Source organism: Homo sapiens, chromosome 19 (genome assembly GCF_000001405.40).
Source record: "Homo sapiens chromosome 19, GRCh38.p14 Primary Assembly".
Lineage (NCBI taxonomy): Eukaryota > Metazoa > Chordata > Mammalia > Primates > Hominidae > Homo > Homo sapiens.
In genome coordinates, this window is record NC_000019.10 from 13127197 (window position 1) to 13142787 (window position 15591).

General features: G+C 55.2%; 1 protein-coding gene across 3 annotated transcripts in view, besides 1 other annotated feature; it reads left to right on the top strand.

The window, feature by feature from the left end:
* NACC1 (nucleus accumbens associated 1) overlaps positions 1-13951 on the top strand; it is a 24296-nt gene extending 10345 nt beyond the window's left edge. For all 3 annotated transcript variants that reach the window (XM_005259721.4, NM_052876.4, XM_047438118.1), the window contains 5 exons: positions 8004-8957; positions 9036-9209; positions 10075-10180; positions 10282-10379; positions 10951-13951. In XM_005259721.4, coding sequence (XP_005259778.1) covers positions 8012-8957; positions 9036-9209; positions 10075-10180; positions 10282-10379; positions 10951-11210 — 1584 coding nt within the window. In that variant the 5' untranslated portion in view covers positions 8004-8011 and the 3' untranslated portion in view covers positions 11211-13951. The remainder of the gene's footprint in view (positions 1-8003; positions 8958-9035; positions 9210-10074; positions 10181-10281; positions 10380-10950) is intronic.
* Positions 9763-10682: an enhancer, noted in NCBI's record as "H3K27ac-H3K4me1 hESC enhancer chr19:13247773-13248692 (GRCh37/hg19 assembly coordinates)". NCBI's record gives its function as "activates a minimal SCP1, AML or CMV promoter by ChIP-STARR-seq in primed H9 embryonic stem cells {active_cell/tissue: H9 hESC(primed)}" and the evidence as "EXISTENCE:reporter gene assay evidence [ECO:0000049][PMID:30033119]".
* Positions 13952-15591: the final 1640 nt, after the last annotated feature.

Sequence of the window (15591 nt, forward strand, 5' to 3'; positions counted from 1 at the left end):
TGTCGGGAAGGGCTTTGTTGGTCAGACGCAGTGGCTCATGCCTATAATCGCAGGGTTTTGTGAGGCTGTGGCAGGAGGAACACTCAGCTGGGAGTTGGAGACCAGCCCAGGCAATATAGTGAGATCACGTCTCTACCAAAAAAAAAAAAAAAAAAAAGCATACATATACATATACTTTTTTTTTTTTTTTTTTTTTTTTTTTTTCGGTTAACTGGATGGGCCGGGTGCCGTGGCTCACGCCTGTAATCCCAGCACTTTGGGAGGTGGGCGGATCACTTGAGGTCAGGAGTTCAAGACCAGCCTGGCCAACATGGTGAAACCCCATCTCTACTAAAAATAGAAAAATTAGCCAGGCATGGTGGTGGTTACCTTTAATCCCAGCTACTCAGGAGGCTGAGACAGGAGAATCGCTTGAACGATTCTTGCAGTGAGCCGAGATCCCACCACTGCACTCCAGCCTGGGCGACAGAGCGAGACTCTGCCTCAAAAAAAAAAAGAAAAAAAAAAATTAGCTGGATGTAGCTCCTGTGGTCCCAGCTATTTGGGAAGCTGAGGTGGGAGGATTGCTTGAGCCCAGGAGTTTGAGGCTGAAGTGAGCTATGATGGTGCCACTGTACTCCAGCCTGGGTGACAGAGCAAGGCCCTGTCTCCAAAAGCAAAAGAGTAGAGAAAGGGCTTTATGTGACCAGGGAGAGTATGAAGAGCTATGGCTGTCCCATTCCCATTCTAGTAGGTCCGAGAGCAAGCAGGGCCAGACTGCCAGGGGCCCCAATAAAGCATTGTAGGGGCCCAGGCAGTGTCACTTGGGGCCAAGGTAGTACAAAGTGGTTTTGAAGGAGTTGAAGATGAATCCAAGGATCTGAATGAGGAGGGCCAGAGCTGGTGAAGCTACGGCATTCACAGGTTTTGGGAAGGACTGGAGCCAGGTCCTGAAATTGTTGAGTGGAGGTGTCTGGGGTGTGTGCGAGTCTGGCATTCACAGGGAAGTCCGGGCCAAAGACTCCAGTGGGGGAGGCATCAGTGAATAGATGGTGCTTCAGGCCTGTCTTAGTCAGCTCAAGCTGCCACACAACAAAATATCACAGACTGGGTGGCTTAAACAACAGACATTTATATTTCAGAGTGCTGGGGGCTGGCAGTCTAGATGAGAGTGCCAGCGTGGTCAGGTTCTGGTGAGGGCTCTCTTCATGGCTTGCAGACAGCTGCCTTCTTAATACCACCGTTATGACCTCAATTAACCTTAATTAGCTCCCAAAGGTTTTATCTCCAGATACAGGCACATTGGGGCTCAGAGTTTCAATCTGTGAATTTGGAGGGACATACTTTGTCCATAGCAGAGCCCTGAGACTGAGCCCAGTCCCCTGGAGGTGAAAACCCTTTCTGGAAGGGCCACACTCCCCATCCACTACTGCCCTTCCTAGATCTCAGCTCCAGTGTCACCCCTTCTGGGCAAGGTCAGGCACCCCAGTGTGTAGCACATTGATCTGTGTGACCAAGGATGAATGGCCCTGTCTCCTGCTGGACTGTGAGCTCCAGAGGCAGGGCTACTTTGTCACCATTGTGGCCTGCCCAGGCAGGGACCTGGCAAATATTTATTGAGTAGTTGTTGGGAAGTCATGGAAACCGTGTGCTGTGCCCTTGGGTCTCACCAGAAGATCTGCTCAGGCCCAGGGCCAGGACTAGGCACTGTCCTGGCCAGGAAGGTCCCAGCTGCCCTGTGGCCTCCTGCCCTTGTCCCCCACACCCTCAGGGGTGCTGATATGCTGAATTTTAAGGAGAGATGATTCTCATATGGTTTTCTGCCCTTGGGGAGTTTATAGTCAAGTGGGACTTAGTTTCCTCAGAGGTAAGCTTAAGGGCACTGTGGCCGGGGTGGGGCAGGAGAGGGACATCTTCTCTAGCCTGGAGAAGTGAGTAGCTGAGGGTGGAGGAAGAGGGTATTCCAGGCAGGGTGCACAGCTTGGGCAAAGGCCTCGCTGCAGTAGAGGAGGACCAGGCAGTGTGTTTGAGCCTGACTTAGGTGGGGATTTGGTGGGGACTAGAACCATTAGGTGGTTTAGAGACCTCAATCCTCGACTCCATCCCACCCCTGCTTCAGCCAGCAGGTGACCCTGCTAGGGACCTGCCAGCGAGAGACCCGTTTCCTCTGAGTCCAGTCATGCTAGCTCCCTTCCTGGGGCTAGCGTGGGTGAGGGCTTCTTGCAGGGGCCCACATAGTTTTTCTCCTGAGTCCATTGGGCAGGATTGGGCCGGATTGGGCCAATCACAGAGGGATGGAGGGGTTCCCAGAGATGGGTCTGCTCTGGCCCACACTGCAGCTCACCCCTGTCCACTCTGTGCGGGGGCCACTGGGGAACTAGACGAACAGCATTCAGGTCACTGTGGCTCACAGACCCGTCGCCCCACTCCGCTCGTCCCCAGCAGCATGGAGGGAGGGAGAGCTCCCGTGCGCTAATTGGCTGAGCTATTTGGACCAATTGCTAATCAAAGGCTCCAAAGCCCTGGGTGCTGTGGTGCTGGGCTCTGAAGCTGAGGTTCACAAGGTATGGGGGACCTCAGTCTGAGCATCAGGTTGGCTCTCATTCTCAGGAGGGGACCTGGGCCACCTTCCCAACCCCCACATCTCTGTTGCCTCCTATTATCCCCGTAACCTTTCAGTCTCCATTGCCAAATGGGGGGGTTCAAGACCAGCCTGGACAACATAGTGAGACCCTGTCTTTAAAAAAAAAAAAATTACCTGTGGCCGGTGCTGGGTGCTTGGTAAGGTCACCTTGAAGCAGTCCTGTGCCCGTTCTGCACTGTTTTGTTTGTTTGTTTGGTTGGCTGGTTGGTTGGTTGGTTTTGGTGGGGTAGTGGGGTCGGGGGATGTGGTTTTTTGTTTTTGCTTTTTTTGTTTTAGAGACAGGGTCTCGCTCTATGACCCAGGCTGAAATATAGTGGCACAATCATCACTCACTGCAGCCTCTAACTTTTTGGCTCAAGTGATCCTCCCACCTGAGCCTCCCAAGTAGCTGGGACTACAGGTGCAAGCCACCAAGCCCCACTAATTTTAAAATTTTTTGTAGAGATAGGGGTCTCACTATGTTGCCCAGACTGGTCTTGAACCCCTGGCTTCAGGGGCTCCTCCTGCTTCTGCCTCTCAGAGTGCTGTGATTACAGGCGTGAGCCACCGTGCCCAGCCTCTCTGCACTGTTCTTTAACACATTTACAAATATTTACTGAGCATCTATTTCATTCTAAAGAACTAATCTTGAATAAAACCAGCCAGAATGTTTGCCTTCATTGAGCTGACAGTGCCCTTGGAGGGGTTAACTGTACATACACCTCTTTTTTCTTTTCTTTTTTTTTTTTTTTTTTGAGATGGAGTATCACTCTGTTGCCCAGGCTGGAGTGTAGTGACTCGATCTCAGCTCACTGCAACCTCCACCTCCCAAGTTCAAGTGATTCTCGTGCCTCAGCCTCCTGAGTAGCTGGAACTACAGATGTGCACCACCACACCCGGCTAATTTTTGTATTTTTAGTAGAGACGGGGTTTCACCATGTTGGCCAAGCTGGTCTTGACCTCCTGACCTCAGGTGATCTGCCCGCCTCAGCCTCCCAATGTGCTGGGATTACAGGCGTGAGCCACCGCGCCTGGCCTGTACATATAACTCTTAAAATGCTGCCCTGACCCTGGGGCTCACTTTCAAAGATGTCCACACTCTGTAGGCCAGGACCCCACCTGTCCCATACCCTTCCTGGCAGCCCTGTCCCTGCTACATCGCCCTTCAGCTACACCAGCTTTCTTTGGGTCCCTGGACCACACCTGATACCTTCCCGCCCAGAAGTGTTATCTCTGTCCTGGCAGTTGCTCAACCTTTTATGGTCCCTACCACCAAGGCCATCTGCTTGGTTGACATACCCACCCCAACTGTAATTAAATCATCCCCGGTGTCTCCTCACTAGACAGCTCCACATAAGCACAGCTGGTCCTTTTAGGGCTGTGTCCCCAGCACCTCCCACAAAGGAGGATGCAGTTCATCAGGATGGGTTGGATGAACAGCCCATTTTACAGATGAATAAACTGAGGCACAGGCAGGTGCAGGATTTTGGCAGCACTGCACACCTGTCCTGGCTTTGTCCTCCTCCCTGGGGAATGAGCTTGGAGCACCCCTCTAGGAACTGGGATGCCAGCCTCTTCCCTTGACCATCTTGGTCCTTGTCATGTGGGCCCCAGTACCAGGGGTGGCTTTAATTTGGCTGCCCAGGGAGGTGGTTCAGGGCTGCCAGGACCCCTGAAGTAGGCTCTCTGGGCTCTGTCCTTTGCCCCCCAACATGGTGCCTGTTTCTCCTGCCTCTTCATGCAGAGTGGCCAGCTCCTGGCCCATTCAGCTCTGAGTTTGAGCTCCTGGGCGGAGATTTTTGTTGCCTTGTAACTGGGATTCCTAGATCCAGCCTCCACCCTCTGATTGCCCTAAGGAGGTTTTGGGGTTTTGTTTTGTTTTGTTTGTGTTTTCGTAGGATGGTGGCAGTGATTTTGAGGAGGGGAAGAGGAAGGAAGATACAAGCAAGGGAAGTCACAGGCTGTGGTGCCTAGGCAGACCCTGGTTTGAATCTTGGCCTTACCACTTTTTGCATGTAAGTGGTAGGGGCAGCAGATAGCTCAGGACATATCTTGGGTTTTTTTGTTTGTTTTTGTTTTGAGACATAGTCTCACTCTGTTGCCCAGGCTAGAGTGCAATGGCACAATCTTGACTCACTGCAACCTCCACCCTCCCGGGTTCAAGTGATTCTCCTGCCTCAGCCTCCCGAGTAGCTGGGATTACAGGCACCGGCCACCACACCCAGCTAATTTTTGTATTTTTAATAAAGATGGAGTTTCACCGTGTTTGCCAGGCTGGTCTCGAACTCCCGACCTCAGGTGATCCACCTGACTCGGCCTCCCAAAGTGCTGGGATTGGCCAGGTGTGGTGGCTCATGCCTGTAATCCTACACTTTGGGAGGCCAAGGCAGGTGGATCATTTGAGGTCAGTAGTTCAAGACCAGCCTGGCCTATGTGGTGAAACCGCATCTCTACTACAAGTACAAAAATTAGCCGGACATGGTGGCACACGCCTGTAGGCCCAGCTACTCAGGAGGCTGAGAATCACTTGACCCTGGGAGGCGGAGGTTGCAGTGAGCCGAGATGGCACCACTGCACTCCAGCCTGGGTAACAGAGCAAGACTCTGTCTTAAAAAAAAAAAAAAAAAAAAAAGTGCTGGGATTACAGGCTTGAGTCATCCCGCCCTTCAGGACATATCTTTTGAATTTTGAACCTGGTGAATGAATTTTTAGATGACCTCAGGACAGTCCTCAATTTCCACATGACCTCAGTTTTTCCAGCTTTGCAAGGGGAGTATGAAACCAGCCCTGAAGTCTTGCTAAGAGGATTCGGGGAGCTCATAGAAGTTGTGAGTTGGTTCCTCCATTCGCCTGGGTGTTGTAAGGGGCAGGGCCTGTGTCTTGCTTGTGGCCTGCCAGGGTAGCAGCTCAGTAAGTGAGATGGTATCTCACTGTGGTTAGGATTCACATTTCCCTGATGACTAGTAATGTTTCCGTGTAATTTCTTGAATGATCATTCAGTAACAATAAGTGTAGGTTGAGTTTGTAGAATCAGGTTGACCTCCTCAGCCTCGATTTCCAAATGGAGAAAGCAGAGATTTGGAGCTCCTGGTCAGAGGAGCAGGTCGGTGCTGGAGCCAGGACTCAACCTTAGGTTGTACCTCTGAGCCTTTGAACACTTGCCGTTTCTATTCCTCACAGCAGCCCTTTCAGACGGAACGGGTGTTACCAGATTAGGAGGAGAGTGGCCACTGTATTCTCAGTGCCCAGCCCAGGGAGGCAGATCTGAGTGGAGTTGCTAATGAAACATGGAAGGTGCTTGAGAGCTAACTGGAAGGGAGGGAAGGTGTGCATTCCTGCACCAGGGCCTTTGCATGTACTTGTTACTTTCTCCTGCTGGCCAGCTGGAGTGTCTGGAAAGATCTGCCTTACTCAGGGAAGCCTTCTCACTCGCACTCTGCCCAGTTAGGACCACTGCCCTCTAGAGACCCTATAGAATTACAGAGGAGGCCGGGCGTGATAGCTCACACCTGGAATCCCAGCACTCCAGCCTGGGCGACAGAGTGAGACTCCATCTCAAAAAAAAAAAAGAAAAAAGAATAAACCCCACACACCTTTGCCTTCCCTTTGCTTTCCCTCACCACACCCCCATTCTCCCCGCCTCCCAGCCCCTGGCAACCACTAATCTGCCTCCTGTCTGCGTGGATTTGCCTGTCCTGGACATTTCCTATAAATGGATCATACAATCTGTGGTCCTTTTGTTTGGCCTCTTTCTGTTGGAATAATCTTTTCCAGGGACATCCATGTTGTAGCATGTGTCAGAATTTCCTTTCTTTTTATAGCTGAATAATATCCCATTGTATGGACTGACCATGTTTAGTTGGCCCATCCATCCGCAGATGGACGTTTGGATTGTTTCCACCTTTGGGCTATTGTGAATAATGCTGCTGTGAACGTTTGTTTACAGGTTTTCAATGCAGGCAAATGTTTTCGTTTTTCCTGGGCATAAATTCCAGGAGTGGAATCGCTGGGTCATATGGTAACTCTCTTTAACCGTTTGAGGAACCGTCAGACTGTTCTCCATGGTGGCTGTGCCATTTGACATTCCCACAAGCAGTGGAAATGGGTTCTGGATTTCTCATCCTCACCAACTTTTTTGATTCCAGCCATCCTAGTGGGTGTGAGATGGTGTCTCATTGTGGTTAGGATTTGCATTTCCCTGATGATGTTTTCTTCTAATTTCCCTGATGACTAGAGATGTTTTCATGTAAGTTATTTATTTATTTATTTATTTTTGAGACAGTGTCTCTGTCTGTATCCCAGGCTGGAGTATAGTGGCGCAATCACAGCTCACTGCAGCCTTGACCTGGGCTCAACAACAGATCCACCCCCCACCACACCCTCCCTAGTAGCTGGGACCACAGGTGTGCTCCACCATGCCGGGGTAATTTTTGTATTTTTCGTAAGAGGCAGGGTTTCACCATGCTGCCCAGGCTGGTCTCAATCTCCTAGGCTCAAGTGATCCACACGCCTTGCCCTCCCAAAGTGCTGGGATTACAGGCATGAGCCACTGCACCCAGCCTCATGCAATTTCTTTTTCCTTTTTTTTTTTTGAGACAGTCTTACTCTATGCCCCAGGCTGAAGTGCAGTGCCACAATCTCGGCTCACTGCAACCTCTGTCTCCTGGGTTCAAGTAATTATCTGGCTTCAGCCTCCCTAGTAGCTGGGACTACATACCCACACCACCTTACCTGGCTAATTTTTGTATTTTTGGTAGACAGGGTTTTGCCACGTTGGCCAAGCTGGTCTCGAACTCCTGGCCTCAAGTGATCCGCCTGCCTCAGCCTCCCAAAGTGCTGAGATTACATGAGTGAGCCACTGCGCCTGACCTCATGTAATTTCTTGAGTGGTCATTTAGTCATTATACAAACAGTGATTGAAGGGCATGTGCCCAGCACTGCAGACTCTGCTGCACAGTCAGATGACCCTGCCTTTCTGGCATTTCCATGCCAGTACCCTGAAGAGATACCATATATGTACCTGGTGCTTGCAATAGCTGGCACTCAGAGGTAGCACACTGTGTCCTAGCCACTCTTCCGAGCACTTAAGCATATTCAGTTACTCTTCAAGTACATATGAATAAGTATGCCTTTGCCCCCTCCTCTTTGCAAGGGATAGCGTGTGGCCACCCTGGTCTGCAGCTAGCTTAGCAGATTTGACCACATATTGTAAAAGTGAGTCTGTACCAGGACAGATAGGGTAGAGGGCTCTGTGTGGTTTAGCACCATGGTAGATTCCATCGTGCGGATGTCCCTCCAGCAGGGGAGGTCTTTGGGGCCAGGGCTAGGCCAGCACCCACATTTGCCGCCTGACCCCGTCCCTCCGTCTCTGTCTCTCCATTCCTCCCTGCCCCTCGTGCAGCCGCTGCCATGGCCCAGACACTGCAGATGGAGATCCCGAACTTCGGCAACAGCATCCTGGAGTGCCTCAATGAACAGCGGCTGCAGGGCCTGTACTGTGACGTGTCAGTGGTGGTCAAGGGCCATGCCTTCAAGGCCCACCGGGCCGTGCTTGCTGCCAGCAGCTCCTACTTCCGGGACCTGTTCAACAACAGCCGCAGCGCCGTGGTGGAGCTGCCGGCGGCTGTGCAGCCCCAGTCTTTCCAGCAGATCCTCAGCTTCTGCTACACGGGCCGGCTGAGCATGAACGTGGGCGACCAGTTCCTGCTCATGTACACGGCTGGCTTCCTGCAGATCCAGGAGATCATGGAGAAGGGCACCGAGTTCTTCCTCAAGGTGAGCTCCCCGAGCTGCGACTCCCAGGGCCTGCATGCGGAGGAGGCCCCATCGTCGGAGCCCCAGAGCCCCGTGGCGCAGACATCGGGCTGGCCAGCCTGTAGCACCCCGCTGCCCCTCGTGTCGCGGGTGAAGACGGAGCAGCAGGAGTCGGACTCCGTGCAGTGCATGCCCGTGGCCAAGCGGCTGTGGGACAGTGGCCAGAAGGAGGCTGGGGGCGGCGGCAATGGCAGCCGCAAGATGGCCAAGTTCTCCACGCCGGACCTGGCTGCCAACCGGCCTCACCAGCCCCCGCCACCCCAACAGGCTCCGGTGGTGGCAGCAGCCCAGCCCGCCGTGGCTGCGGGAGCAGGGCAGCCAGCCGGTGGGGTGGCAGCAGCAGGGGGTGTGGTGAGTGGGCCCAGCACGTCGGAGCGGACCAGCCCAGGCACCTCAAGCGCCTACACCAGCGACAGCCCTGGCTCCTACCACAATGAGGAGGACGAGGAGGAGGATGGTGGCGAGGAGGGCATGGATGAGCAGTACCGGCAGATCTGCAACATGTACACCATGTACAGCATGATGAACGTCGGCCAGACAGGTGAGGTGCCGTCCTGTCCCCCATCCCACCAGCCACCCCTGCTCCTCCTGCCACTCGCGTGCCACTCTCTCCCTGCAGCCGAGAAGGTGGAGGCCCTCCCGGAGCAGGTAGCCCCCGAGTCCCGAAATCGCATCCGGGTTCGGCAAGACCTGGCGTCTCTCCCGGCTGAACTTATCAACCAGATTGGGAACCGCTGCCACCCCAAGCTCTACGACGAGGGCGACCCCTCTGAGAAGCTGGAGCTGGTGACAGGTGGGCCGGTCTCGCCCCAGATCTCTCCCCTCCGCAGCTTTGGAGCCGGCTGGCCTGGGCTGGGCTGGGCAGCTGGTTAGGAGCCCCCAGCACCTCAGTTTCCCTATCTGTGCTGTAGTGTTGGTAACAGCCACCCTAAGGGTGGGGGCGTTGGTGAGATGGAGGAGCTGATACAGCAAGGCCTGGCCTCTAGGTTTCTGGCTTAAGGGGTCGGGGCGAGCATTGGCTATTATTGTTTGGCCGCATGGGTAGATTAGCTACTTCCCGGGCTCCTGTGAAGGCCAGCTACTACCTAGGTTAGGAATTTGGACAGTCACAGGGGCGAATGCCTGTAGTCCTAGCTACTCAGGAGGCTGAGGTGGGAGGATCCCTTGAGCCCAGGAGGTCAAGGCTGCAGTGAGCTGTGGTGGCCACTGCACTCCAGCCTGGGTGACAGAGTGAGACTTCATCTCTTAAAAAAAGAAGAAGAAGACTGTGTTTGGTCCTTGGGTCAGAGTGCCTAGGTGTGAGCCTCCACTCCCTGTTGGTCCTGCTGAGCTTGGGCTCATCTCTAGCTGGTGACAGCCAGCGTGCCCACCTCACACAGGCTTGCGGCACGACTGGCCACACAGCAGGCACCCCGAGGATGGTGAAGCAACCCTTTCTGTCCTTTCCTGAGCACTGATGAGGTTGGGGGAGCCCCAAGGAGCCTCCCCTGACTGCCCTTGGTGGGTAGAGATGTAGGGGAGAAGGTCCCTGGGTGAGTTTTCTTGGGACCCAGAGCCCAGCAGGGAGGGCCTGGGGTGTTCTGAGATGAGGCCTGGTATCATGGGGGCTGTGGCGGTTTGGGGGCACCCCAGGCCATCCTCCGGCTTCCTCTCACCAGGCACCAACGTGTACATCACAAGGGCGCAGCTGATGAACTGCCACGTCAGCGCAGGCACGCGGCACAAGGTCCTACTGCGGCGGCTCCTGGCCTCCTTCTTTGACCGGTAAGGCCCTTGCCAGAGCCCCAGGGAGGGGGGTGGGGTTTCCCCATGTCCCCCCCACCACCAACTTGAGCGCTGACTCCCTCCATGTCCCCTGCCCCCAGGAACACGCTGGCCAACAGCTGCGGCACCGGCATCCGCTCTTCTACCAACGATCCCCGTCGGAAGCCCCTGGACAGCCGCGTGCTCCACGCTGTCAAGTGTGAGTGTTGGCCCAGCTGGACGAGGCGTGGGCCCGGGGCACGCAGGTTGACGTTTTTTCCCAGCCTTGGCTCTCAGAGAGGGCTAGAGTTCAGTGTTGAGAAGCATTCTGGGGCTCATTCTAGCCTTGCTGGGAAACCGGCTGTGATTGCTTAGAGATTTCTTCGTGTTTGGGGGATGCACGTGCCGAAGGGAAGCCAGGGAGCCTGTGTCAGGCAGGAGGGTCTCGAACTCAGGGCAGTCTGGGAGGGATGAGGCAGCCAGACAGTGCTAGCCACTCGTCATGGGGGGCATCTAGATTTTCAAGTGACCACTCCCCGTTACTAAATTCTGGCAAATGATCCGAATTTTTCAAGAACACGGGGCCATCCCATCAAAACCAACACATCCCCACACATGGCTGAACTCAGTCCGGTGTAGGGTTGGGTGCACGTAGTGTGGTGTCCTGGCCGCGTGGCCTCACTCGTTTCCCCTTTGAGAGGGAGTCGCAGATGCTGTAGGGGAGCTGGTGAGTAGGCCTTGTGGGAGTCACCTGGCCCCCGTGCCAAGGCCGCACCCACCCTGCCCCACAGACTACTGCCAGAACTTCGCCCCCAACTTCAAGGAGAGCGAGATGAATGCCATCGCGGCCGACATGTGCACCAACGCCCGCCGCGTCGTGCGCAAGAGCTGGATGCCCAAGGTCAAGGTGCTCAAGGCTGAGGATGACGCCTACACCACCTTCATCAGTGAAACGGGCAAGATCGAGCCGGACATGATGGGTGTGGAGCATGGCTTCGAGACCGCCAGCCACGAGGGCGAGGCGGGTCCCTCGGCTGAAGCCCTGCAGTAACCCGCCCAGCCTCCCGCGGGGCCACACACTTCCCCTCCCAACACACACACACACCTGCCATCTTGGTCATGAGCTACTGTCTGTCCCTCCCCAGGACCCGCGGTGGGTGCTGCATGTTCCCGGCCCTCTGCCCCTCCTGTCCTACCCCCTTTCCCCACCGAGAGCTGGGCCGGGAGAGGACCGCAGGGCAGGTGGCGTGAGGTCCGTGTTGCCTTCTTTAACACACACTCGTGCAGTGGGGGAGTTCTGGCTCCCCAACCTAACCCCTAGCCGTCATCTCCACACTCACCAGGCCCACCAGGGGAGGGGGCTGGCCTGGGGGTCTTGGGAAGGCCCCTCCCCAGGCCCTAGGCCACCTCGCGGAAGCCTTCAGCCTCCGCCCCTCACTGCAGCCCCTTGGGACTTGAGGGGGGCCCCAGGGGTTCTCAGGACCCCTCCCACCACCTCCCAGTGCTTCCACGTCTCCAAAAGCGCCTTCCTGTCACCCTCGTCTATCCCTGCGCCTGGGGGCTGGGGTAGGCGAGGCCGTGGGGACTACCCATTTTATAGCTGGGGAAACAGGCTCCGAGAAATTGCACAACCGACCTCAGGTGGCCGGCAGTGGCGTGCCTGGTGCCCTTTCTCCTCTTCCGCCTCTGTTGCTCCCTTTGGTCCTCTGGGGCCTCAGAGAGGCAGGTCCTAAAGGAGGGGGGGTCTCCTGGGGGCAGACCGAGGGTCTCGGAGGATAGAATGAGAGGTTTCCAGGGCTGGCAGAGTGTGTGCGTGTGTGTGTGCAGAAGTTTTGCTTTCAAACAAATGAAGATACAAGAGGCAGTAGGACCTGGGTTGGAACCCAGGGGAGCAGACTGGGGGGCTGTTGCCCCTCCCTCCATCTCCCCACACCCACCCCACCCCACAGCAGGGCTCCTGGCCCCCACCCCCCTGTACATAATTTTTAAAACCTTTTTTTAGCGAATGAAATATTGAAGTATAAGATTCCTTTTATTTTTCAAACCAATGGGGCTGTGTCTATTGTCCCCCTCGGTCCCCAGGGGTGGGGGGCCTTGGAAGGCAGGGCGGTGTTGGGGGGCTGGGGGGCAGGCTGAATGTGTGTGTGTGGGTGTGTATGTGTGGAGTGTGTGTGTGTGTTTCCATGGTAGGACTCCAGTCCCAGCTGCTGCCTAGGCTCCTGTGGGTCCTGTGGGTCCCCCTCCCCTGTTCACCTTCCCCAACAGGGCTATAGTTTAAGGGTGTCCCAGGCCTTGGCTGGTTGGCTGGGCCCAGCTCCTGGGGGCTGGGCAGGGCAGGGCAGGGCCGGGTCCACTTCCATTGTTAGCAGTTGTTTGCAGAATTTTCTCTTTTACCATTCCTCTCTTTTTGTTCTCGCCCAGAGTGGGTGGTTTTTTGTTGTTGTTTTAGATTTTCATGTGAAGGCAGTTTTTTTTCTTTTTTAACTCCCCATCCCCCTATGCAGGGTGTCATTTCACCATCCACATCCACATCCTTGTTTGTGTTTCTGGCCCTCGTCCTCCCTGCCTCTCATCTGCCTCCCCAACCCCCACCTACCCACTGCTCCCAGGGGTCTCTCCAGGGGCAGGGGGATTTTAGGAGATGGGGTGGGGGCCAGCCCCTACTGGACCCTTGTAATCTGATTTGGAGACCATCCCCCCGATGGGACCAGCAGCCCCGCCGGCCCACTGGGGGTCCCTCTTAACATCTGCTTGTTGCGGGGGTCAGTCATGAGTGCCAGGGTCTGGCTGGGGTCTTGGCACTGTCTTCCTGGCCGGGGCCTGAAACCTTAGCCCCCAGCCGGCCTGAGTGGGGGATATTGACACCCCCAGCTAAAGCACAAGCACCTTAGTCACCCCTCCTCTCCCCCCGCCTCCTGGCCTGCCACCCCACCCCAGCGTTTACCCCAAAGCACAATGCCCTGGTCACTTGGCAAGCGGCTGGGCCTGACGGAGGCCGAGGGGCAGACCGGGGCTCCAGCCAGACCCCTGAAAGGAAGGTGCTCCCCCACTTCCAGGCCTTAGTTGGGGTGGGGGGGCCAGCTCCTGGGCCTGGGGTCTTCTCACCCCCACCCCCTTGTCCTGGGTAGGCCCCTGCCTGCCCCTCTCTGCCTTTTCCTCGGGTGTCCCTCCTCGAGCCCCTGTGGCATTGGCTTGGGTGGCAGAGCCCACTTGTTTCAGGGACCCCAGGAGGTGCCCCCTGGCTCCCAGGACTGTGTGTGGGTCCGGGGGGTGGGGGGGTGGGGAGAAGGGTCGGGCAGGGGGTGCAGGGGAGGAAACTCCTCACCAGGAGAGCCAAAGACAGGGTTGTGCCTTACCCCAGGAGCCACCCCTGTACCCCCCTTGCCCTGCCATTCACCCTCCACCCCTACCCCTGGGCGGCCTGCTGCTTTTTCCTTCTCTTCCTCCCCTGCCCTGAGCTGCATGGTTCCCCCACCCTGGGCAGCCAGGAAGGAATCTGAATGGAGAATCACCAACCACCAGAGAAAAAAGACTGTGGGGCCCTCCCCTGCCAACTCCCCTTCCCTGGCCGCCCACTCAACCCACACCTCTTTCACGCAGGACAGGCTGCCCACCCTGTCCACGTGAAGTGCCAACGCCCTCCCCACCCTGGGCCGAGCCCCCACCCCTCCCTGGGCCCCCAAGTGAGATTGCACATTTAACTACTGTAAGGAGAGGAGCGGCGTTGGCAAATGTGAACCATGAGAATATCAGTGATACTGATGAGAATAAACTAAACGCCTTTGTAACAGCCTTGCCGCATGCTCGTTACTTGGGGGCCCAGGGAGGAACACACACCTGCATTGTGCCCAGCAGACCCAGGTTGCTGACTGCAAACTGACAGCCTCCGATTCTAACACGCATGCAAGTTACCCCAACAGATACAGATAACGCAACATATGAGCTGGTCCTACACACACACACACACACACAATTTTTTTTTCTTTTTTTTTTTTTGAGATGGAATTTCACTCTGTCGCCCAGGCTAGAGTGGCGCGATCTCGGCTCACTGCAACCTCTGCTTCCTGGGTTCAAGCCATTCTGCCTTAGCCCCCCCAAATAGTGGGGATTGCAGGCACCCACCACCATGCCCGGCTAATTTTTGTATTTTTAGTAGAGACAGGGTTTCACCATGTTGGTCAGGCTGGGCTCGAACTCCTGACCTCAGGTGATCCACCCGCCTTGGCCTCCCCAAGTGCTGGGATTACAGGTGTGAGCCACCGCGCCCAGCATTTTCTTTTCTTTTTTTTTTTTGAGTCGGAGTTTCGCTCTTGTTGCCAGGCTGTAGTGTCATGGCGCGATCTCGGCTCACTGCAACCACCGCCTCCCAGGTTCAAATGATTGTCCTGCCTCAGCCTCCTGTGTAGCTGGGATTACAGGCATGCACCACCAGGTTCAGCTAATTTTATATTTTTAGTAGAGATGGGGTTTCTCCATGTTGGTCAGGCTGGTCTCCCAAAGTGCTGGGATTACAGGCATGAGCCACCACCACACCCAGCCTGAAAAAATACTTTTAATTAGCTGGGTGTGGTGGCATGCACCTGTACTCCCAGCTACTCTGGAGGCTGAGGCAGGAGAATCACTTCAACTGGGAAGGTCAAGGCTGCAGTGAGCTATGATGGCACCACTGCACTCCAGCATGGGCAAGAGTCAGATCCCATCTCAATAAAAAAAAAAAAGGGAGCTGTGGCTCTGTCAATTTTACAGCAACACTGGCTCACTCGGTGCCCGCCTGTGCCGTGGCTGATATGCCAAGCCCCAGAAACACATCCCATACACACACACTCCACGCCGCATTCAGAAGAGCATTCATGCATTAAAAGAACATAAAAGAGATCGGCAGGGCGCAGTGGCTCATGCCTGTAATCCCAGCACTTCGGGAGGCTGAGGCAGATGGATCACCTGAGGTCAGGAGTTCGAGACCAGCCTGGTCAACATGGCAAAACCCCATCTTTACTAAAAATAGAAAAGTTAGCTGGGCGTGGTGGAGTGCGCCTGTAATCTCAGCTACCCAGGAGGCTGAGGCAGGAGAATTGCTTGAACCTGGAAGGCGGAGGTTGCAGTGAGCCAAGATCGCACCATTGCACTCCAGCCTAGGTGACGAGCAAAACTTAGTCTCAAAAAAAAAAAAAAAAAAACGAGATCACAAAATTTAACCGATATTGGAAATATCTGGGTGAACAAGAGGGTCCCAAGAATATGAAAGGACAAATGGTTCTATCAAGTAGGAAAAACCATGGATGCACCGTGGGTCCCCATAGACTCAAAGATAACACAAGATTAAAGTAACTGGGCTGGGCACGGTGGCTCATGCCTGTAATCCCAGCATTTTGGGAGGCCGAGGCAGGTGGATCACCTGAGATCAGGAGTTCAAGACCAGCCTGGCCAACATG